Source organism: Homo sapiens, chromosome 11 (genome assembly GCF_000001405.40).
Source record: "Homo sapiens chromosome 11, GRCh38.p14 Primary Assembly".
Lineage (NCBI taxonomy): Eukaryota > Metazoa > Chordata > Mammalia > Primates > Hominidae > Homo > Homo sapiens.
Window position 1 is genome coordinate 62,592,792 of NC_000011.10, and position 20,374 is coordinate 62,613,165.

The window sequence follows — 20,374 nt, forward strand, 5'->3', positions numbered from 1 at the left end:
ACCACCACCCCCAAGGGGGTATACATGTTACCCTGGCTGCTAGCAACTTCCAGAATTCCTTAAACAAAAGGGAGAGGGGAGTAAGAGGTGGGAAACAGAGGAAGAAACACCCCCATTCCCCTTTCCTATGGAGGCCACCAGTCATCCAGAAAGCTCATCTCAACTCCTTTGAATGAATCTGGGCCAAGATGGTTCTTGAGCTCCAGCACCACTGGGAGCTGGGGAGCAGTTTGGGTCCCACAAGAAGCCTAGCTGGAGCAAGCCGCCTGGGTCCAGGCTGCCTATCTCATAAAGCTGTTCCCAGGGCAAGAACCATCTGTACCTCCTTTGTTGTCCTTTGTCCTTTATTTTCCCTCTCAAAGACACCCCCAACACACACACAACACACACCCATGGCAAAGAACAGCTGAGCCAGGAGAAGCTGAAGAAAACAGCTTTTTATTTGTTACTATAAGAACCAATTACAGAATCCGAGGTTAAAAAAACGGACAAAAGATCTTTATTTCTGAGAACTGGCGTACAAAAGGCAGAGGGGGAGGGGAGGGAAGGAAAGAGCGAGCGTGGCCTGGGGTTGATGCCAGCTTAGGGGCCTCAAACTCCAATTAGGAAAGTCCGGACACCGGACAGAAAGAGAAACCCCCAATTAGGAAAAAAAAAAAAAAAAAAAAAAAAAAAGACATGGCAGTGCACGCCCCCCTCCCCCAACCAGGTACCACCACCTGTTATCTGTTTACTCTTCCCCTCCCCATCCCCTTTCACAAAGGGAGGCAAAATTTTTAAAAAATTAAAAAACCCTCCCCCCAAAACTGTCCAAGACATCTGTGGGTCCTACCCCCCAAAACAGGCTAGGTTCCCACATGGGCCAAGTTCCTGCAGTCTGTCCTCCATCGGCAAGCATGGAGGCATGAGACAAGTCTCGAGGTGGTAACACCAGAGGGCGCCCAACCCCTCCAGGGACACACACTCACTTGCTCTCTTCCTTAATTCACTCCTCACTCCCTTCGACACGAAAGGGAAGGGAGGTTTGGGTGCCCTGGGCATCCACCCTCTACCTCTCAGCCCACCTCCCTTCCCCACAGGTGCTCAGTCCTCCAGGACAATAGGCTCATTGGTGCTGGCAGGATGTGAGGGTGCAGGTAGAGGGACAGGGGGCCGCACTGCAATCAGCGTTGGCTTCACCTTCAGGGGCAAGTTGGGTCGGCGAGCAGCTCGCCGCATTTCCAGATGGGTCAGAGCCTTCCGTAGGGCCCTGGCCAGAAAGAGCAAGTGGGAAACAGAAAAGGCTTAGAGAACATTAAGACCTCCAGGTGAAGCCCCACACTGCAATTATGCCTTCTGGCCCATTCTTTTCTGGCATCCCCACCCTGCATCCACAACTTTCCTGGAGCTCTTGCTCTGATACTCCTACTCCCCACACTCACCAGCCTGGACTGTCCCTCTCAGCCCCTCCCATGGTAGACGCCTTACCTGGTATCCTTTGTGGCCACAAACACCACAGGATTGGGGGCATCAGCTGGGTTTAGTTTCTGACGCTTGGCTGCTGGCTGTGAGCTTGAACGAATCCCTGAAGCCAGAGGCCTTCCATTGGCAGAGAAAGGAACCCCTGCCCCTGCCATCTGGAAAAGGGGTAGGATGGCACAATGAGGGAAGGGACCCTCTCAGACTCCTATGAGAGACAAAAGCCCACCCAACTCAATCTGGCCCACCCCTTTCTGTCAACTCACAGTCTCATAGGCCCGTTTCACCATAATGCCCCCCAGTCCCCGGTTCTGGGACAGCTGGTTTCTGTTGATCGGTGTCTTGGTACCCCGAGGTGTTTTTGGTTTCAGGGGTGCCTGGGCCACTGGAAAAAAACAGAAAACTTTCGCACCTTTTCTTCCCACGCAGTTCCCCTTTGTTACTTCCATCTCTCTTCCCTGGACCAGCAGTTTACCTGGGCATCCCCAAAAGTAGCAATGGGGGAATGTTCTGGCAAGCTATCACTAGTATTTCAAATATCAGTATGACCTTATCAAATCAGTACAGTAATACTGAATAGTTTACAAAAAAAATTATTAAACAACAAAAGTACAGTTTGTTAGACTAAATCTCTGAGGACACTATGAGGAAGAAAAAAAGCAAGGGGAGAGATGTCAGACAGGGAAAGGACTGGGAGCCTGATGCCAACCTCACTGGTCCCCATCCCATACCCAGATCTTTGACGATAGTTGCCAGGGGCAGCCGCACCAGAGGGTGAATCTTCAATGGAGTCTTGGCGGCCTTAGGAAGTCGAATGGAGCCTGGAGAACAAAGAAGAAAGCTTCTGAAGGGCTTCACCATTCAGGTCTCCTCTAAGGCCAGAAGCCAACTCTAATCTTAAAAAAATTATCTGTGGCCTACTATCCCTCCTGTTATTAGACATCCAGAGAAACAACGGTCTCTGGGCAGAGCAATCCGAAACCCACCACCAGTCCCACCACTCCCTGCCCTTACACTCTGCTTTGATGGCATTGGCATTGATAGGAGCATAAGGCCGTCGGGCGGCCCTCCTTGGCTGTAATAGGTCCCTGCACATGCGTCTGGCAAGACGGGTCAGCTTTGTGGTCTGAAGCAGGAAAGTTTGTCTGTTCTTAGCCAGTAGCTTGGCCCTGTTGGCGCTGGTTGTGTAAGGAGAGAGACTTTGAGCTTCAGGTCTGGATAAATGACCCCTTGAGTGTGGCTCCTAGAAGAAGAGCATAGGAAAGAGAGAGAGCAGAAATCAGCACTGAGGCTCCCTTCTTTCTTCCATTCCCTGCAGGGGACAATTTATTCCTGTCTAATCTCTTTACTGACCTCTTGGCCTATGTGTCTCCCCAACCAGCATCAAGCACCCCGTCCATCAAACCATCACCATATAAAGAGTTGAATATTCTGGCCTTCACCTAAGCTCACCATCAATATGCTTACTGCTCTCCCCTGCTTTTCTTCCCACTGATCCTTACCGTGGTGCCCCGAGTGGCCCCCTCAAGCTGAGTTGGGGTCTTCAGTCCCCCATACTTCTTCCAGTAGATCCAACAGGAAGCACAGAGGCGGCACTGCATGTTAGGTGGGCCCCAGGCATACCACTGAGCAGACTGTGTGGCTGTAGAGTACGGAGAGGAGGGGGACAGGGAAGAAGCATACTACCTAAGCCCCTCAGATTCTTGAGCCACAGCAGGCCTTCCACCCATCCCCACCATCCCAGTGCCCCCGTAACTCACTGTGGCAACTCTCACAAGTCAGGCCCTTCTGAAATCCAGCCCCATTCATGCCAGGTTTTGAACCCACAGAAATGATCTGGTTAGGGTTTGGCTTAGTGCTAACGGGGAAGGCGAGGAGAAGGGAAAAAAACAAGAAACTGGTCAAGGAAAAGAATCAATTTCCACTCTCAGTGTGCCCCTACCTCCTGCCCACCCCCAATCACTGAGGAAGGCACAAGTTAGGGGAAGGGAAGGAAAACACTCTGGTCTCCCCTACCCACCACACTTACTAGGTGGGAATGTAGACCTGTTTCAGTTTGCTGTCTGCTTCAGCAGCTTTCAACCTTTTCTGTAAGAAGGTAAAAAGAAAGAGAAGGATCAGAGCCTCATAGCAGGGAGAATGTCATCAACTTCAAAGGCAGAGGTCAGCAGGTAGCCTATGGTCCACCCTCCCCAGCCCAGATAATACCTGCTGAATATACCGGTCTGTGGTTTTCCACATGTAATAAAACTGGACTATGCTGGCAAGTGACTTCCAGGGTAGCTAAGGGGGGCAGAGGGAGGAAGAATGAGCTGGCATCTGGCCCCAGGTCCTGGTTCCCTCACCTGTCATCTCTCCCACTTCTCCTCCTAGTGCCATCCACTTACAAAATCCTGGCGAATATCATTGAAGTCCTTCCCATACTTCTCTAGGGCCTCCTCAAATAGCATGGCCTCTGAGGCTGACCATTCCTCCATCTCATCCCGACACAGCACCGGGCCTCCCTGGGGTACCAGGGTCGACATGGCCTTAGCCAGGTCGTAGCCGTTCCTTTGCAAGGTATCCATGGCGTGAAACTATGGGGAAGATGGAGAGCAACTGAGGACCTGAAACTTTTGGCACCACTCCCTTCCTGCTCCTTAAAACACTCCCACTCCCGGCCGGGCGCGGTGGCTCACACCCATAATCCCAGCACTTTGGGAAGCGGAGGCGGGCAGATCACGAGGTCAGGAGATCGAGATCATCCTGGCTAAAACGGTGAAACCCCGTCTCTACTAAAAATACAAAAAATTAGCCAGGCGTGGTGGCGGGTGCCTGTAGTCCCAGCTATTCGGGAGGCTGAGGCAGGAGAGTGGTGTGAACCCGGGAGGCGGAGCTTGCAGTGAGCTGAGATTGCGCCACTGCACTCCAGCCTGGGCGACAGAGCAAGACTCCTCTCAAAACAAAACAAAACAAACAAAAAAAAAACACTCCCACTCCCTCAGAGATACCCTCCTCTTCTGTTCCCAGGCTCTGCAAGTCCCCAGAAAACCCAGCCTGCCCAACTACCCACCAACTTCTGCTCACCAGAGTGATATCTCGGGAGGCAGCAGCTGCACTCATGTGCAAGCTTGGCTGCCGAATGGAGCTGCTACAATCTAGGGCTCTTGCAAAGGTTCCCACAGCTCTAAGGGAGAAATTGAGAAGTCAAAAGCGAAAGAAAAGTCAAAAGCCCAAGTGGGCTGGGAAATTAAGCCAAAGGAGAAAGAAGGAAAACATCCATGGCAATGAAAGAAATAAAGTCCATCTCTAAGAACCATGGGACTCAGAACAATGTCCACACCTCCCCCAGCCCATCTTCCCTATCCACCCACCCCTCACCGGGCCACCACAAGAAACTGGTCGATCTGCCGGTCTGTGAGAGGGTTGTCTGGGTCCCAGACCTTCATCTCCATCTTCTGCTGGTTCCGATTATCAGATTCTCCTGGGGAAAAGAACAATGGCATCAACAGGGAGAGGGCAGGGGGGAACAGTTGGTGTCTTTTCATTCACAATAGCACCTCCTCCTTCTCTTCTTCTGCTTGGATTCTATCAACTCTCCGACTTCTCTTCCCAACTGTTCCCATTTTCCCTTTTCAGGTTCCTACAGGCCCATTCTGTCAGGGTCATGGCAGAGAGCCCTGCAGACAGTGCACTGCACAACCCCAGGTGACGCCATTCACAGAGACTATAATGTTAAAGTGCCCCTTGGAATTAGACAACCTGGTAGCCGTACAGTCTTGTCCTGTTGCTTACCCTCTACTAGGCGATCTGGGATCTCAGCTTGGTATTTGCAACCAACTCTAATCTCGCCCTGATCAGCGAGAAGTGTCTTCTGCACGGGGTCAAACACCAGTGAGTAAAAAAAGCAGTCCTGGAATTGGGGAGAGACAAGGTAAGCAAGGCAGCAATCCACATAGGCGGCGGGGAGGGAGGTGTATCTGAGTTTCCATGACCGGCAGTCTGGCAACCCTGTACCTCATCATTGTGCTCCTTTCCCCCTCTCTTTTGCGGGCAATACCCATTCCCCTCGCTCTTCTCTCAACATCTCTTTCTCACCTCCTTTTCCAGGTACTGGCTCAAGATATCTGTCTCATTCAAGAGGGTCACACTGCATTTCCCCCTATAGGAGAGAGATTGGAAAACCCCGGTGAGCCCCACTCTCCCTCCCCACAGCATCTCTCAATACCACCTCCTTCTCTCCATCTTCTACGTAAGTGCACGCAGGCTATGCTGGCCCCAGTTGTCCTGTACCGTATGTGGGTGGCTGGTAATGATTCAAATTGCCGAGAAAGAAAAAGTTCCCGGTGCTTCAGTTGATGGCGCTGCTGCTCAGACACCCCTGGCTGCTTTGATTCCTCTTCAAACTCCCCTGGGAGATTAAAGAGGAAGAAACCAAGTCAGAAATGGATCCAGCAAAACACCACCCTGGAAACTCTAACTCAGGGAAAATATTTCCTATCTTGGCTGTTTTTTTCTCACATTTCCCAGGCGTCTGCCTTCTATACCCTTATCCCACCAGCTTTCCTTCTTAGCTCTATGCCCCATCATAGATGCTCCCAACTCTATCAGTAATGCTTTTAGAGAAGAACTGCTGAGAGTACGAAGAATGCTCTAGAAATACATCGCTACCCAGCTGCCAGTACTCAGACACCAAAGTCCACAACGGGCCAGCAAGAACATCACACTTGTCTCTTGCTTGCTAAACCAGCCTGAGGTCCAGGAACTCAAGATGAAAAAATATCACACAAGACTGTGTTTACCAGTTCTTTTCAATTTCAGGAGACTCTTTGCTCTAAAACATCACATGCAGCCCTAACTATCCCTCATTTTCTACTTGGCTAATAATAGTTCCTGGGGTTTCCAAGGACAACACCTCTCAAGCCAGTGCCAACACCTTCCTCCCCAAGGAGCTGCAGCTTGCCCTGAAACCTAGCGGAAGGGGTTAACCTGGCTAGGCGCCAACCAAAGTGGGAGGGAGCAGAAGAACCTCAGCCCCAGGCTCATTGGTGTATTGTTCCCAACCTCAGGGAGAAGGGGGGGGTTGTGCAGTAGGCTCCACCCCTCGCTTGTGTGCTCCGGAAACCCTGTGCTGAGGCAAGGGGGACCACACCCCCAACACCCCTTCTGATTGGACAAGGCCAAGGTCAGCCCCTGCCAGATGGGGCTGGAAACCCTAAAGGGCCAAGGAACTTGGTAAGCTGGGCTCCTCTTTAACCCCTTCTCACCCAGAGCAGTCTGAAAAAGGAAAATAATTTAGAAAGGTGGAACAAAAGGAAGGAAAAAGAAAACCAAAGCAGGAAAGGAAAAAGAAGCTAAGGAAAATATGTTTTTTAAAAAAAGAAGATGAGACCTTAAAGAGAATGAAGATAGGGCAAAATGAAAAGGGAAAGATGTAAAATGGAGGGGGGCGGGCGGGGAAATGGGCGAGGTGAGAAATTAAAAAGCGCAAGAAAACTTCCAGCCATCTTCTAACTTCCAGGTACTCTCATCACCTTGTGATTACAAAATAAGCCTGCTTCTCTGTTACGCAGGCTTCTCAGTACAATGTCTTCCTCTTCACGTTGACCTTCAGTCATCACCTACTGTCTCAATGTACCCCAAACTGCCCCCCTTTAGAAAACCATTGTTTCTCTAAAGCTCGTCCTCATACTCTAAATGTTATCATCTCTCTCTTACTCTCATATACAAACCATATTATCGCTTTCCTTATCACAATCTCTCCACCCTGCTTCCAACCCCAACATGTAAAAACAGGCCTCCCTCCTCAGGCCAGGCATTTCCCACCCCCAAACTCACACCTCTGCCTTGGGCATGCTACCAGGGGAAATACCTGCAGGGACATGCCCAGGCCTCAGATCATGGGTAGGAGAAAAAGAAAGGGAGGAAGATACTCACTGGCATTACTATCAGCCAGGCTGTTGAGGCTACTAGAAATGTCCCTGCGCCGGAAAAGACAGACAACCTTTGCCTCCACATTTCCATTTGCAGTCTAAGGGGAGGAAAAAAACAAAAACAAAACAACGTAGCAGTGGAAATTGATCATCTGGGAACAGAAATGCACAAAGAGACAAATAACAGTAAGTTTCAGAGGGACCTAAATTAAAAAGCCCAAGAAAATATGAGTAAAGACTTACATTCAAGGATAGACTTCCAAATCCCTTTCCTTTGCCCCCAAGAGACAGAATAGTAAAGTTCCTGCTAACCTCTCAATAGCCTTTCCTGAATACATCCAATGAATGAATGAACGAATATGAATGGGTACTTAGTATAGGATCCTCTCTTCCACCAGAAGTTAGAAACCTCAGAAGAGACCACTGCGGGAGGGAGGGAGAGGGATTCTGCTCCACTCACCTTGTTGAGCTCCTCAATCCGTCTAACCAGGTAAGGATTGCTGGAAGAGTTCTCAAAATAGACGTAATCTGTAAGGGAAGGGAGGGGGGAGAACCACGAAGATCAGAGGAGATGGGAGACGCAGAGCACCAGGGTAGGAGAGAAAGTTGGCCTGAGTGGATCAAAAGGAGATAAGGATTCAGGTAGAAAGGGCGCTGAGATGTGAAAGTGGACAGACTAAGAGAAAATAAGGATGTCCCCCATCCCCACCGCACCTAGTTCTAAAATTAGATCCTTTACTCAAAAGAGAGCCTTAAGGAACAGGCAAGAAGCAGGGGTTCCCCTGCAGTCCCCACAACTCAGCGATGAGTTGCACCCCAGTCGCGGCGAAGTAATTGTCCGCTCTAGCGCAGGGCCCCTACCTTTTCGAATCGAGGCGCACAATAACGCCTGGGAAGAGGAAACCTCCGGGCGGCTCCCCCGCGGTGGCAAAGCCGTCGCCCCAGCCCCTCGCGTTCCCTCCCTACCCTGTCAGCTCCTTCGGAACCGGTTCCGAAGGCCACTCCGTGCCCCGGGGAGCCCCTGACGCAGCCCCGAAAGTGCCGTCGGGGCTGCCCGCAGCTTCTCTCTGGGAGTCTCGGAGCCCTGCCGCGTCGCGGTTCCCCGCACCCTCTCTCCTCGTCTCCCGGTTCCGGTTCCGGTCCGCGCTCCGGTCCACGCTGCCCCATACGCTGCGCCTCGCGCCACCCGGTGCCGAGCCCCTCAGGTCCCTACCCCAACCTCTCCCGCCCCGGGCCCCGTATCCCTGCGCCCGGTACTCACCTCCCACCCGGTACATGTTGGCCGCCATGGCCGTTCCCGCCGCCGCCTCCGGCCGCACAAAGGGGTCCGGGAGGCTCGCGGGGGCAGGGCTCGGCTCGAGGCAAAGCCCCGAACGGTGGGCTGCCGCTTCGAGGGAGTCTCACTGGGGCCCGCGCAGCCGGCACCTCCGCTGCCTCAGCCGTCGCGGTTCATCCCGGCCCGCGCTGTCGCCGCCGCAGCTATCGCCTCACTCCCGGGACGCTGAGGCTGGCCCCCGTCCGCTCGGCTTCTTCCGGAACGAGCTCGGCTCCTGCCAGGCCAGAGCCAGGCTCCAGCTACCCCCGCCCCCGCGGAGTCCCACTAGTCGTTGGGCTCTGCCGGCCGCAGGGAAGGCTTGCCGGGCCCGCCTCAGGGTTCGCCTCCTTCCGGAACACCTTCGGCCGATCCGGAGAACAAGGCCCACTGCTCGGCTCAGGTCGGAGAGCGAGACCCCGCAGATCGGCTACTTCCGGAAGAAGTTCGGCTCCTGTCGGGCAACCGCTCGGCTATTTCCGTCGCAGCTCGGCCCCACCCCCTTTTCCGAGGGCGGGAGAGGAGTCGGGCTTAACTCTGTCCTCGCTGGAGCCCTGCAGCTCCTCCTCGCGCCCCAAAGACTCGCGCGCCTTAGCGCTTCGCCAGGTTATTTGCAAGCGGCTTTGCCTGTCATTTGCATAAATGGTCTACGCTCCCTTACCCTTTCCGCACGCCTCTTTTCCTTCGTCCCCACCCCACAGAGCCCCGGAGGCGCCCGGCAGCGCCCCACAAAAGCACCGGGAGGCGACTTTGGTTCTGGTTTATTGCCCCTCAGCAGGCAGCGGGAGTCAAGGCCTAGGCTGGGGCTGCCCGGCTCAGCCAGCGGGTCTAAACAGTGTGTGCAGGGGCGCCGTTCGCGCCCTCCAGGAAAATGCGCGATCGGGAATGTCTCGAAGTCAGTCCAGGAAAGAGTCGGCCCCTAGTCGTGGGGGATTGGGCCAGGGAAGGGCAGGGCGGGGCGGGGCCACGCCGCCGGGCCAGTCGGTCCCGCCAGGCAGCGATCAAACGTCGAGGGAGGAGGCGGGGGACAGGGAGGGGGTTCGAGAGGGCGTGGCGGGCGCCGGCCCCGCGCCCCCAGCGCCCAGCACTCGCCACTGGAAGATGCTGGCGTCCTTGCCGCCCAGCGAGACGAGGTGCGAGTCGTCGTGCGTGAATCGGACGCTGGTCACGTGGCTGCCGTGGCCCCCGTACATGCGGCTCGGCGCCTGGGCCGGAGGGAAGAGTTGCGGTGGCGGCTGAGCCCTCGGGCCCACCGGTCCCACCCCGGCGATCCCCGCGGCCTCACCTTGGCACGAGCGCACGGGTACTGGAAGAGATGCACTTTGCAGAAGTCGTCGGCCACCGCCACCACGCGCTCGTTGTGGGAGCGGCACAGGGAGTTGATGTCGGTCCCATCGGAGCCGTCCGGCCAGACGCCTAGCACAGCGGCCGGCCTCAGCCCGACCTCCTACCCACCGCCACCCACGGCCCAGAGCTACACCATTTCAGGCGCTCCGGCAGCCGCGGCCACCCACTGCCGCGTTCCAGGCAAGCCTTCCCGGTCCCGAGGGGCCTCCTGGGCTGGATCTTCAGGTTTCTGGACTCTCACCCAACGACACACGCCCAGCGTTCCAAGCCCAAACTGGGCTCCACCTTGTCCCCCACCCTTCCAGCAGGTTTCCACGCCCCTGCTCACCGTAGACGTGAAAGCCCAGCACACAGGTGTAGGTAGCCCATTCCCGGTCTCGGCTCTCATAGCGATTCTTCAGCTGCTTGCAGCCTCCAGCCACGTCCCCTGGGGAGAGGGAGCCCGCCCAGCTCAGCTCTCACCCTGCCCTCAGTAGGGAAGATGCCAGGGAAAGCCAGACTGGAAAGACTGGCATGAAACCCGGCGATGGCATGTGATCTGGTCACCGTAGTAGCATCACCTCCTCCCCCTGTGAAACCCACCCTGTGTGCGTCCTGTCCTGAGCTCTGGCTGAAGTTCTAACAGCTTCCACGAGTTCCTCCTCCCTAGATAAGTCAAGTGCTCCACACTTGCCCTGAGAAACTTTTCCCAAACAATCTTTTCTTAGCGCATTTTTGAACTCCCTCAAGTCAACAAGACATGGTGTGAAACTAGTTGTTTCCAAATCACGAAATTTCTCCTACATATAATTCCAACTCCACTTTAACCCCATCTCCACTTCCTTATCTAACAACACCTCTAACAGCCCCCCCTACACAAAACCCACTCCAATTACCCTCTCCCCATGTCCTGCTCCACTGCCACTCACAGTAAAGAATCTCATAGTCCCCAGAATTGGACATGATGAAATTCCCATCCTTGGACCAGTCAAGATGAGTGATGAAGCTGGAGTGACCCTGGGAGCAAAGGTCAAGAGTTTTAAAGTATCCCATCCATTTCCCATCCCCAGAGCCCCCTTGATGCATCAGACCCCTGAGTTTCGCAGCTGTTATCATGCCCCACCACACACCCCAACTTCCTCACCATACAGCGGCCAAAGCGGCTGGATTTGGCACCATCACTGGAAACACTATAGATGTAGATCACGTTGTCATGGGAACCAATGGCCAGGTACAACCCATCTGCAAATACAGTCACTCAGAGAGGGAAGGGCCAGGGACGCATGTGAGTCCAGGGTTGGGGTGGCTCCCACCTGGGCTGTACCGGACCACTGAGAGCTGCTCATTGCCATCAATGACATCAGACACGATCTCTCTGGTCTCTGTGTCCAAAACCAACCACCTGGAAGGGAGGGAAGTGGAGGCAGATAGGAAGACGAAAAGGCAGGATGTAAGGAGACCCCCAGGGAGGCCACCCTGGGTAGGCTTGGGGATGGCAAATAAGAGAAGCTCAGAGACACACACAGAAAGGCTCTGATGTAGAAGACAGGTCACAACTGCATTCTTCTTTTTTAGTTTGTTGTTGTTGTTGTTGTTGTTTTGAGACAGAGTCTCACTCTGTCACCCAGGCTGGAGTGCAGTGGCAAGATCTCAACGCAACCTCCACCTCCTGGGTTCAAGTGATTCTCATGCCTCAGCCTCCTGAGTAGCTAGAATTACAGGTGCGTACCACCATGCCCGTCTAATTTTTGTATTTTTAGTGGAGACGAGGTTTCACCATGTTGGCCAGGCTGGTCTTGAACTCCTGACCTCAAGTGATCCACCCGCCTCAGCTCCCAAAGCGCTAGGATTACAGGCGTGAGCCACCGCACCTGGCCACCACTGCATTCTTATGCTGAGAAATGGGAAGGAGCTAAGTGTGGATAAAGGCTGAGGGGCTTCTGATGTCGTCTGAAAAAGTAATCTGAAACTACAGACCAGGGGCCGACTACAAAGGCACTGTGCAAGCTGGAAGCCTGTCACTTCCCTGTGTTTGTCTATGCCCCTCCCATTCCCACTGTTTCTCTATCCTGGGCTGCTGCCTCCTCCACTCCCAGGCTTGGAGGAGACACTGGGTTGGGGGAGGGGGAGAAACAGTTACCACAGAAGAGGAGGGGAGCCCGGGTGGCAGGGGCTGCAGGGAGAGGCACAGAGGAGTGCCAAGGCGCAGGTGGCTCCTGGGTAGAGGTGGTCACTCTCGCCCACTCCCCCAGTACCAGGAACCCTTCCCAGTCCTCCCTGCTTTCCCTCCTGGGAGTCCTGGCTCTCTCTCACCTCCCCGTGTTCAGTCCTACGGCCACAACTGCCCCACTCGGGTGGAAGTCAGCACAGAGACCAGTCTCCTGGGAGAGGGGAGAAGGTGAATTCAAGATGATGTCTTTCTAGTGAGGGAACCAGAGTGAACCCCTTGTCCTCCTAACTTCAAAGCCACTTACTCCCAAGGAGAAGATGGGAAGAGAGGGAAGGGATACCCGGGTATCACTGGAGCCTGAACAGGGAGTGATACCAAAATATTTAACCACAGAACTGATGCCAATAGCTGTGCTGGAGATTAACCATTTAGGTGCTGGATCAAGAGGAAGTCTGAGGGGTTCTGGGGGCGGCAGGGAGTGCCCAGGTGGTACTAGAAGCATCAGCTTTTACCAGTCAGTACAGAAAAATTAATATTTGAGTAGCCAGTGCAGCCATACCAGTACAAACTGGCCACCTCTGGGAGGCAGAAGGCAAGGTGCTGGGGAAGGCGTGGTGGCCACAGGTGTCCTGGTGGGTGTGGCATGGGGGATCCAGGGGCACAGGGCTCTACCTTGAGGTCGATGCTCCAGGCCAGTGCATGGCTCTCCCCATCCCACAGGCAGAGCTGCCGGTCGTGGCCGCAGGTGAGGAAGCGGTTCTGGGAGGGGTGTGTGCAGAGCCCCCAGAGCTCATCAGTGTGGCCCTGCAGCACAGCATGACTGTCACTCCTGCCCCTCTCTCACACCCCTTTGTCCCTTCCTCCCCTGAGCCCTTAACCCCCAACCTGGATTACAGGGGAGAAGCCCTGGGCCAGGTCTCCCCTCAGCAATGCATTCTTCGTGGTTCCCACCAGCAGCTCAGAGCCAAGCCCTTCAGCAATGGCTCGCACGGCCCCGAAGTGCTCGGGAATCTGCAGAGTGGTAGCAGAATGTCAAGAGCCCACTGACTATTGCTCTTCTCCCTCACTCCCTTGACCCCAGCCCAGCCCTCACCTCAGCCTCCTGGAGGGCCACCAACCCGGGCCCCCACTGTACCAGCCGGCGGTCCCGCCCGCCACCACTCAGCACTGTCCCGTCCCTCCGGAGACACAAGGCGAAGATAGAACCTTCATGAGCGTGAGCCTGGGCCACAATCCCATAGGTCTCTGTTGGCAAAGCCCCAGGTAGATCATGTTTTGGGGGTGCAGGGGAGTGAGAAACAGGGCCAGCTTGGCTGTCGCAATACAGTAAGAACTCCCAGCCATTGCATGCACTGACTACTATGTCTCATCCTCATACTGCCAACACATCTGTTATTCTCCCCATTTTACAAACAGGACAACTGAGACTCACAGAAATGAGGTAACTTCCTAAAGGCAAGGCAACTAATAGCAAAACTGGAATCTGAACCTGAGATCTGGCAAACACAAAGCTCCAGCCGTTTCTCCTTTGCTGTGCTGCCCACACGCTTCTAGACTAGCCCCCAAGAGAACTATCAACTCTCAAGGTAAAAAGGTGGGAAACCTGGCTGGGCGCCGTGGCTCACGCCTGTAATCCCAGCACTTTGGGAGGCCAAGGCGGGCGGATCACCTGAGGTCAGGAATTCGAGACCAGCCTGGCCAACATGGCAAAACCCCATCTCTACTAAAAATACAAAAATTAGCTGGGCGTGGTGGCGTGTGCCTGTACTTCCAGCTACTTGGGAGACTGAGGAAGGAGGATCACTTGAACCTGGAAGGCAGAGGTTGCAGTGAACCAAGATCGCGCCACTGCAATCCAGCCTGGGCAACAGAGTAAGACCTCATCTCAAAAAAAAAAAAAAAAAAGATGGGAATGGGAAACCCTCTCCTCTGTTCCCACAGAACCTCTGGAGTACTACACTTCCCAGATGCCCCTCCCAGCCACATACCTTTGGCGCCACCCCTGCCTGGGGTCTTGGAATCTGAAGGGCTCCGCCCCCAGGTGAGAATGTTCCCCTCTGAGTCTCCAGTGAGAATGTCTCCATCCGGAAGGAACACAAAGCAAGGGATAAACTTGGGTTTCTTGTATTTCTAGTGGGAGGGGAGAGCAGACAGTAGAGGTCAAAGGGAAGGGCAAAGATTAAAAGTCGCAGGGCAGGCCAGGTGCAGTGGCTCATGCCTGTAATCCCAGCACTTTGGGAGGCCAAGGCGGGCGGGTCACCTGAGGCCAGGAGTTTGTGACCAGCCTGGCCAATATGGTGAAATCCCGCACTGCACTCCAGCCTGGGTGATAGAGCAAGGCACTGTCTCAAAAACAAAAAAAACAAAAAAAAAACGGGCATGATGGCCAACATGATGAAACCGTATCTCTATTAAAAATACAAAAATCAGCCGGCGCGCATCTGTAATCCCAGCTACTCCGGGAGGCTGAGGCAGGAGAATTGCTCGAACCCAGGAGGCAGACGTTGCAGTGAGCCGAGATCTTGCCATTGCACTCTGGCCTGGGTGACAAGAGCAAGACTCCGTCTCAAAAGAAAAAAAAAAAAAGGTCACAGGGGCAGGTGGGGGTTAGGGAACCTCAGGGTCCATAGTACTCAGCCCAGTGCTTCCTCTTCCACTCTGCCCTCCCCATCACCTTCCACTTATCCATGCCTCACCCCAAAGACACCCTGTTTCCGGGTAAGGGTCCCATTCCCAGGAACCCCTACTCCACCACTCCAATTCCAGAAGTGGACGTGAGATTTCCCACTGGTGACGATGCAGCTGCTGTCACGAGGGTTGAAGCCAACGGCCAGGACTGAGTCATTTGTACTCTGAAGGGAAGACACTAGATTCAGCCACCCCAAGCCCTGGGTACCTTCATTCTACTTGACTCTCCTCAATTTGCATCATGACAGCTGGCTGGCAGAGGTCCAGAAACCCCAGGACAACCCTTCTTTCAAAACCCTGGTCCCCTAAGAGCACTATTTCCTGTCAATCATAATTAATCACCCTAATACCTAACACATTATGCCTCATGAGGTCAGAACCCATGTCACAAATGAAGAAACTAAGGGTCAGAGAAGCTAGGAGATTTGCCCCATGTGACCCAGCCAAAAAGGAAGGAAATGTATGGGTGAGTCTGGAGCTCCCTGCACTCCACCACTCCCACCCCCAACCTCAGAGCCCCTCCAAGCCACATGGACTCCTCACCTTGATCTCAGCCAGCTTCATTCCCCGGCTGCAGTCCCACACCGACAGCATGTGCTCATTGGAATCATCCACCACACAAAGAAAGGCACCCTGATCCTGAAGAAGGGTGACACATAGGAGGTGCAGAGTGAACCCTGGAGGTCCAGGGGTTCATGGTCATTAGGTTAAGAGGTACCATCACAGATGGAGAGGGCAGAAAAAGTTGACACACATGGCCCTTTCTCAAGAGAACCAGCTGGGTGGGGTTCAGGAAGGCCAGAACTTCCAAGGCTTCCTGGTGACATGCAAGAGTGGGGTTCCTAGGCAAGAATGGGGGTCTAGAGGCTTCAGGGCCAGCTCACCGCAGCTGAAAAGGCCAGGGCCCCAACACCCCGCTCGAAGGCCCCCAGTCCAATCTCCTGCAGTTTCAACAGCGTCTCTGAGTCCCAGATGTGAACCACAGGCTGCAGGGGCTGGTGGAGGAAGAGTCACAAGTGTGAAGCAAAATTGGAGTGCAATTCCAGCATGTCTGCCTGCTCCCTGACTTTGGCCTTACCTTTCCATCCTTATCCACTCCAGCTGTCTGTCCCGAGGCTACCCGAACACCATCAGGGTGAACAGCAAGGCTAAGGCAGGGGGAAGACACTCTAGGGAAAGGGTCTCTCAAGACCATCCAAGACACCTTCTCCAAGCTTGCAGAGCAGCAAGGCAACTCTTTTCTCCTGCTTCTCCATCCCCCCAGACCCTCTTCCTGCCAAGCCCACCAGCCCCGGACTCCTCACCATCGAACGCAGTCTGTGTGCCCCCGGTAATGTCTCTGGCCGCCACCTCCAGGACCCCCTGGGCCTCCTCCAGGCCGGTACAGCACCACCACACAGGCGATAAAGTAGACCACCTCCCCAGAGCGCAACACAAACAGATTAGAGCGGGAGTCACGACCCCTGTACCCATAACTGGGGTGGAGATCACGGTCAAGGAAAGGGTTAGATCAAGGGCAGGAGGAGGAAGAGGGGAGAAAGACAGAGCTTCTGGCTGGCAGGGCCTAGAGCAGAATGATGGTAGGAGAGGATCTAGAAGGCTCCTTGTCCCCACAGACCCAGGAGGAAACTGTAAAGGTAAGAGGGGTCCCAAGGTGAGAAAGGTGGTTCTCATGGGACTGGAAGGGGCAGGATACACCCAGTCAAGGCTGAGGGTCTCTGGCGGTGGGCCACTCGGCAGCTCCTCAAGGCTGCGGATGCCAGACGGGATGTACATGGTAATGGGGCGCCCTCGAAGGAACATCTTCACTGAGATGCCTTCTACAGAGAAAAGGGGTGGTGTCAACTACCCCCTTCCAGGAAAGACAGAGCAGAACCCTACCCACCACACCTACCCAAAATAGCTCCTGGGGCTACAGCCCAAATCCTAACCCTGCCATCCAAGTTTTCCTCTCTGTCCCTCTTTACATACCCAAATTGTAATTGCTCCTCCGAGATCCAGGGCCCCCAGGGCTGGAGAGGGGGTCTTTTCCCCCACGGCTGTTGGGAAGAGAGAAAGCACAGGGATTGGGGTCAGGTCCCAAGACCTAAGCGGGGAGGGGCAGGACACAAGAAAAGAGGTCACTGCAGAAACCACAGTCACTTCTGCAAGCCTGTAGTTTGCTTCGTGAGTATCAGGGCCCTAGTAGATGGAGACTTCTAGTTCCATTTAAGAGATAAGAAGATTGAGGCTGAAGGGGCTGAGCGCACAGCACAAGGCCACAAAGCTTGGAAGAGGCAGTGCAGGGTGCCAGAGCCCTTTCTCTCCTCCAGACCACCAGGCCTCAGTCTCGCTCTGTCGCCCAGGCTGGAGTGCAGTGGTGCGACCTCAGCTCACTGCAACCTCCGCCTCCTGGGTTCAAGCAATTCTCCTGCCTTAGCCTCCCCAGTAGCTGGGATTACACGTGCGCGCCACTAGGCCCCGCTATTGACCTTTTCATTTCCCCATCCGTAAAATGGGACCAAAGGGAGTCGAGAATGTACACCAGCTCCGCCTCTCAGGGATCCGGGAGGCAAGCAAGAAAGTCCACATCTCTCCAGAGATTCCTGTCGTTAGATAACAGTAAAGTGATACTGTCTCTTCAGAGAATAAAGCACAGGCCAAGGACAGGGCTAGAATGAACATCCGGGTGTCCTGGGGCCCGTACATACTCTGAGGCAACTACATCCGGCCACTAGGATGTCCTCTTGCCCTCTAGAAGTAAGTATTAATAGATTGGTACTTGGTAGATCCAGCGGAAAGAGGGCTGAAGCTCTAGGGACAGCCGTCCATGAAAGCCATGGAAGCTTCTAGAAAAGCCTCTTGGGATCGCAGAAGGTGTGCTGTGATGTAGTGGAAAGGGTAGGGGAACTGGAGTCAGGAAGAGTTAGGTTCAAATCCTGACTCTAGCTGTGTGACCCCAGGCAAATGACTTACCCTCTCTGAGCCTGCTTCCTCACCTGTGCAATGAGCAGCATGAGACCACCTAACCCCCAAGGATGTTGTGGGGACTGACTGAGATGGAGGAGGTCGAGGGTTTAGCACAGTGCCCGGTACACAGCAGGCGCCCCAGAAGTGTTTGTTTCTTTATTCCTGTTGGGCAATCAGGTCCCCCCACCCCAACCAGGGATGTGAGGTGAGGGATATGGAAAGTCGAGAGCCTGCGCCTGGGGCGGGGTGGGTTGAGGGGAAGCCTCACCCACCTCTCTGTGCTCCCGGACCGCACTAACAGGTTGGCGGAGGAGATTGCCTTCCTGGAGAGCTTCTGCCGAGGCCGCTCTGAGGGGGATGAGGAGGAGGAAGAATTTCTTCGCGGCCTGGTGGGGGCATAGTGAAGGTCATTCCCTCCAACTGTACTCTGCAATCCTACCACCCCTCCCAGCTTCCGCCACAGGGCCACAGGACACCTACGTGTCAGCACGCTGTGGGGGCTGCAAGGGCCTGAGGATCCCCGGGGGGCCAGGGGAGCCAGCACCACTGCTGCTGCTGCCCCCTCCTTCAGATTGGGTCCCGCTAGGCTCTTCGCTGGCCCCCTGAGGGGCTGGGGGTCCATTGCTCAGGCCAGGGGGTCCAGGGGATGACTTGAGCTCCACCTCTGTCTCCGTCTGGGTGCCTCGGCTCACCAAGGAAGGGGTGCACGTGGGTGGCAGTCCTGGGGGGGCTGCAAGACTGCTGGAGAGATGTTGAATTAACCTGAAGCCCCAGAGGCCCCAAGGAGGAGGAAAAATGGGGTGTGATGACATGCATACCTGTCCCCCGGAGGAGCTGGTGTGCCAGAGCCCTGCAGGGAGGAAGGGGGCACCTGCAGCCGCAGCAGGCGAAGGGCTTCTGCCAGGGCTGCCTTTACCAGTTCCATCTCCTGCTCCTGCACCCGAAGCCGCTGGCTCAGAGACTGGAGGGCCTCCCGAGCAGGGCCGTCACCTGGGAAAAGGGCAAGAGGTACTCAGAATGTACCCATCACCTGAAGAAAGCGTAGAGGGGATTCTGTCTCCCCACAACTTTACATGTGTCCGGTAGGACTGCCCCTTTCAGGCAGCCCCAGGCTTGAATGCTCGTCCAGAGGGGAGGAGACGGTGGTAAAGGATCAAGGGCCTCCTTCTGGCAGGGCAGGCGAGAAACCTGGCAAAGCTCCCTTCCTGCTGCCGTCTCAGCCTCCGCAAAGACTGGGAGTACCATGGAGTACCGGGGGGGAAATATGGAGTACTGCCGAGGAACGTGGGAGCCACAGAGAGAGGCGCCGCACTGGTGAGGGCAGGGACCGCAGCCCTCCCCACGCGCCCCCAGCAAGCTCAGGTCTCCAGCGAAAGCTGAGTAACTGAGCCGGGGGAACACCAGGAGAGAGAACGGGGTGCGGGAATGGAGTCATACTGAGGACCCAGAGTACAAGAAAAGAGATCCAGAGTGACAGGAGAGAGTGTGAGTGGTGAGCAGAGTCACAGTGAAGGTCTCAGGGGGCAGTGGGGATCAGAAGGAAAAAGACCTGAAATACCACGAGAAGAGGCCCGGAGTAACGCAGGGGGCAGGGAAACATCGAGGGGCCCGGAGTTACGTGGGGCGTAGAATGACGCTGGGGAAGCCCGAAGTGACAGCAAGACCCAAGCAACTAGGGAGGGCGACCGGAGGAACTGTGGAGGATGCTCGGAGCCCCTGGGGCGGAGGAGCACGCGGGGACGCCTCCAGACAGCCGTCCAGCTCTGGCATAACCCGACGAGCCGGGCGCTCCGGGAAGGGGCACGCCGCCCGCCCCGCCCCGTACTCACCGGGCCCCGCGGCCCCGTCCATCCGGCCCCCGGGTTGCTCCGAGCGGCGGCGGCGGAGGAGGCGTCTAAGCCGCGGGGGCCACGGCCGGGGAGAGGGGAAGGGGAAGCACCCCGGGGCGCGCGCGAAGGGCGCCGTACCACCACCCCGAGGGGGCGCTGTCGGGCGCGGGGAAGGGGCCTGGAGGGGGCGCTGTGGGCCCGGGGCCGCAGTCTCCAGACCCCCCCGGGCCCTCGGACTCTCCCGGGGCCGCTCTCGGCTCCCGGGGGTGGGGTGGCAGGGCCGTCCGGTGCCACAGCGCCGCAGCACAAACAGGCGCCGGACGCGGAGCCGCCAGGAAGCGCGGGAGGGGGGGCGGGCCCGAGGGGGGGCCGGGCCGCTTGGTAACCCCTCCCTGTCCGGGCCTCGCCGCTCAGTACGGGGGCGGGGCTAGCCGGCTGACCCCCTGGCCTACTCCCGGCCTCCGGCTCCAGGCCCTTCCCGGATCCCCGCCCCCGGATTCCCAGGGGACGGGGAAGGGAGCGCCCGCCCCGATATCTCCGCCCCCCAGCCCCTAACCCCTCAGGGTTGAGCGGACCAACCCCACCACTTCCGCGAGGGGCAGGGGCGGGGTCACAAAACGGGCCCTCGGCCTAGGGGCGGAGTTTCTCGTAAGGGGCAAGGCCAAGGCATCTTGTATTGGGGCTGACAGGGGGGCGGGTTATTAGGGCTGAGGATGGGAGGATGCTCAGG

General features: G+C 55.8%; 2 protein-coding genes across 17 annotated transcripts, besides 13 other annotated features; both read right to left on the bottom strand.

The window, feature by feature from the left end:
• Nucleotides 1-422: 422 nt before the first annotated feature.
• MTA2 (metastasis associated 1 family member 2) lies at nt 423-9,074 on the bottom strand. 2 transcript variants are annotated; one of them, NM_004739.4, is made up of 18 exons: nt 8,632-9,074; nt 7,831-7,898; nt 7,375-7,468; nt 5,731-5,848; nt 5,536-5,599; nt 5,233-5,350; nt 4,819-4,921; nt 4,525-4,624; nt 3,846-4,034; nt 3,667-3,741; nt 3,488-3,546; nt 3,219-3,316; nt 2,961-3,100; nt 2,473-2,701; nt 2,190-2,279; nt 1,725-1,843; nt 1,468-1,616; nt 423-1,249 (listed from the first exon to the last, which is right to left on the bottom strand). In NM_004739.4, the coding sequence occupies exons 1-18, from the start codon at nt 8,657-8,659 to the stop codon at nt 1,084-1,086; spliced, it is 2,007 nt and encodes a 668-aa protein (NP_004730.2). In that variant the 5' UTR covers nt 8,660-9,074; the 3' UTR covers nt 423-1,083. The 2 variants fall into 2 exon arrangements, with proteins under 2 accessions (NP_004730.2, NP_001317221.1); NM_001330292.2 differs by lacking the exon at nt 8,632-9,074 and adding an exon at nt 8,232-8,459.
• Nucleotides 6,212-6,351: an enhancer, noted in NCBI's record as "active region_4828". NCBI's record gives its function as "activates an Ori minimal core promoter by ATAC-STARR-seq in GM12878 lymphoblastoid cells {active_cell/tissue: GM12878}" and the evidence as "EXISTENCE:reporter gene assay evidence [ECO:0000049][PMID:35858748]".
• Nucleotides 7,945-8,655: an enhancer, noted in NCBI's record as "H3K27ac hESC enhancer chr11:62368208-62368918 (GRCh37/hg19 assembly coordinates)". NCBI's record gives its function as "activates a minimal SCP1, AML or CMV promoter by ChIP-STARR-seq in naive H9 embryonic stem cells {active_cell/tissue: H9 hESC(naive)}" and the evidence as "EXISTENCE:reporter gene assay evidence [ECO:0000049][PMID:30033119]".
• Nucleotides 8,090-8,139: an enhancer, noted in NCBI's record as "active region_4829". NCBI's record gives its function as "activates an Ori minimal core promoter by ATAC-STARR-seq in GM12878 lymphoblastoid cells {active_cell/tissue: GM12878}" and the evidence as "EXISTENCE:reporter gene assay evidence [ECO:0000049][PMID:35858748]".
• Nucleotides 8,390-8,469: a silencer, noted in NCBI's record as "silent region_3417". NCBI's record gives its function as "represses an Ori minimal core promoter by ATAC-STARR-seq in GM12878 lymphoblastoid cells {active_cell/tissue: GM12878}" and the evidence as "EXISTENCE:reporter gene assay evidence [ECO:0000049][PMID:35858748]".
• Nucleotides 8,550-8,649: a silencer, noted in NCBI's record as "silent region_3418". NCBI's record gives its function as "represses an Ori minimal core promoter by ATAC-STARR-seq in GM12878 lymphoblastoid cells {active_cell/tissue: GM12878}" and the evidence as "EXISTENCE:reporter gene assay evidence [ECO:0000049][PMID:35858748]".
• Nucleotides 8,720-8,769: a silencer, noted in NCBI's record as "silent region_3419". NCBI's record gives its function as "represses an Ori minimal core promoter by ATAC-STARR-seq in GM12878 lymphoblastoid cells {active_cell/tissue: GM12878}" and the evidence as "EXISTENCE:reporter gene assay evidence [ECO:0000049][PMID:35858748]".
• EML3 (EMAP like 3) lies at nt 9,427-19,984 on the bottom strand. 15 transcript variants are annotated; one of them, NM_001300794.2, is made up of 22 exons: nt 19,645-19,984; nt 18,634-18,805; nt 18,296-18,553; nt 18,088-18,201; nt 16,838-16,905; nt 16,563-16,686; nt 16,171-16,341; nt 15,945-16,014; nt 15,751-15,861; nt 15,410-15,505; nt 14,875-15,030; nt 14,167-14,308; nt 13,272-13,423; nt 13,064-13,189; nt 12,851-12,982; nt 12,322-12,389; nt 11,322-11,410; nt 11,153-11,250; nt 10,938-11,025; nt 10,358-10,456; nt 9,968-9,988; nt 9,427-9,887 (listed from the first exon to the last, which is right to left on the bottom strand). In NM_001300794.2, exons 1-22 carry the CDS (start codon nt 19,664-19,666, stop codon nt 9,511-9,513), a joined length of 2,754 nt encoding a protein of 917 aa, NP_001287723.1. In that variant the 5' UTR covers nt 19,667-19,984; the 3' UTR covers nt 9,427-9,510. The 15 variants fall into 15 exon arrangements, with proteins under 15 accessions (NP_001287723.1, NP_694997.2, NP_001287722.1 ...); NM_153265.3 differs by having other exon boundaries at nt 9,968-10,098; NM_001300793.2 differs by having other exon boundaries at nt 18,296-18,556.
• Nucleotides 9,520-9,569: an enhancer, noted in NCBI's record as "active region_4830". NCBI's record gives its function as "activates an Ori minimal core promoter by ATAC-STARR-seq in GM12878 lymphoblastoid cells {active_cell/tissue: GM12878}" and the evidence as "EXISTENCE:reporter gene assay evidence [ECO:0000049][PMID:35858748]".
• Nucleotides 10,078-10,787: an enhancer, noted in NCBI's record as "H3K27ac-H3K4me1 hESC enhancer chr11:62370341-62371050 (GRCh37/hg19 assembly coordinates)". NCBI's record gives its function as "activates a minimal SCP1, AML or CMV promoter by ChIP-STARR-seq in naive H9 embryonic stem cells {active_cell/tissue: H9 hESC(naive)}" and the evidence as "EXISTENCE:reporter gene assay evidence [ECO:0000049][PMID:30033119]".
• Nucleotides 14,954-15,023: an enhancer, noted in NCBI's record as "active region_4831". NCBI's record gives its function as "activates an Ori minimal core promoter by ATAC-STARR-seq in GM12878 lymphoblastoid cells {active_cell/tissue: GM12878}" and the evidence as "EXISTENCE:reporter gene assay evidence [ECO:0000049][PMID:35858748]".
• Nucleotides 18,509-19,067: an enhancer, noted in NCBI's record as "H3K4me1 hESC enhancer chr11:62378772-62379330 (GRCh37/hg19 assembly coordinates)". NCBI's record gives its function as "activates a minimal SCP1, AML or CMV promoter by ChIP-STARR-seq in primed H9 embryonic stem cells {active_cell/tissue: H9 hESC(primed)}" and the evidence as "EXISTENCE:reporter gene assay evidence [ECO:0000049][PMID:30033119]".
• Nucleotides 19,068-19,627: an enhancer, noted in NCBI's record as "H3K27ac-H3K4me1 hESC enhancer chr11:62379331-62379890 (GRCh37/hg19 assembly coordinates)". NCBI's record gives its function as "activates a minimal SCP1, AML or CMV promoter by ChIP-STARR-seq in primed H9 embryonic stem cells {active_cell/tissue: H9 hESC(primed)}" and the evidence as "EXISTENCE:reporter gene assay evidence [ECO:0000049][PMID:30033119]".
• Nucleotides 19,068-20,350: a biological region, named in NCBI's record as "H3K27ac-H3K4me1 hESC enhancer GRCh37_chr11:62379331-62379890".
• Nucleotides 19,471-20,350: a silencer, noted in NCBI's record as "silent region_3420". NCBI's record gives its function as "represses an Ori minimal core promoter by ATAC-STARR-seq in GM12878 lymphoblastoid cells {active_cell/tissue: GM12878}" and the evidence as "EXISTENCE:reporter gene assay evidence [ECO:0000049][PMID:35858748]".

What these genes read in the sequence shown, in the direction of transcription:
- EML3 (XM_006718489.5), bottom strand. Translation starts at nt 19,060, where the DNA reads ATGGTACTCCCAGTCTTTGCGGAGGCTGAGACGGCAGCAGGAAGGGAG. An exon ending in CCCCCACAGCGTGCTGACAC is followed by an intron (nt 18,202 to 18,295) that starts GTAGGTGTCCTG and finishes TGCCCCCACCAG; the next exon opens with GCCGCGAAGAAATTCTTCCT. An exon ending in CCCTGGCCTTTTCAGCTGCG is followed by an intron (nt 15,506 to 15,750) that starts GTGAGCTGGCCC and finishes ACCCTTCTTCAG; the next exon opens with GATCAGGGTGCCTTTCTTTG.
- MTA2 (NM_004739.4), bottom strand. Translation starts at nt 8,659, where the DNA reads ATGGCGGCCAACATGTACCGGGTGGGAG. An exon ending in ATGATATTCGCCAGGATTTT is followed by an intron (nt 3,742 to 3,845) that starts GTAAGTGGATGG and finishes TGCCCCCCTTAG; the next exon opens with CTACCCTGGAAGTCACTTGC. An exon ending in AACTATCGTCAAAGATCTGG is followed by an intron (nt 1,844 to 2,189) that starts GTATGGGATGGG and finishes GTTTTTTTCCAG; the next exon opens with TGGCCCAGGCACCCCTGAAA.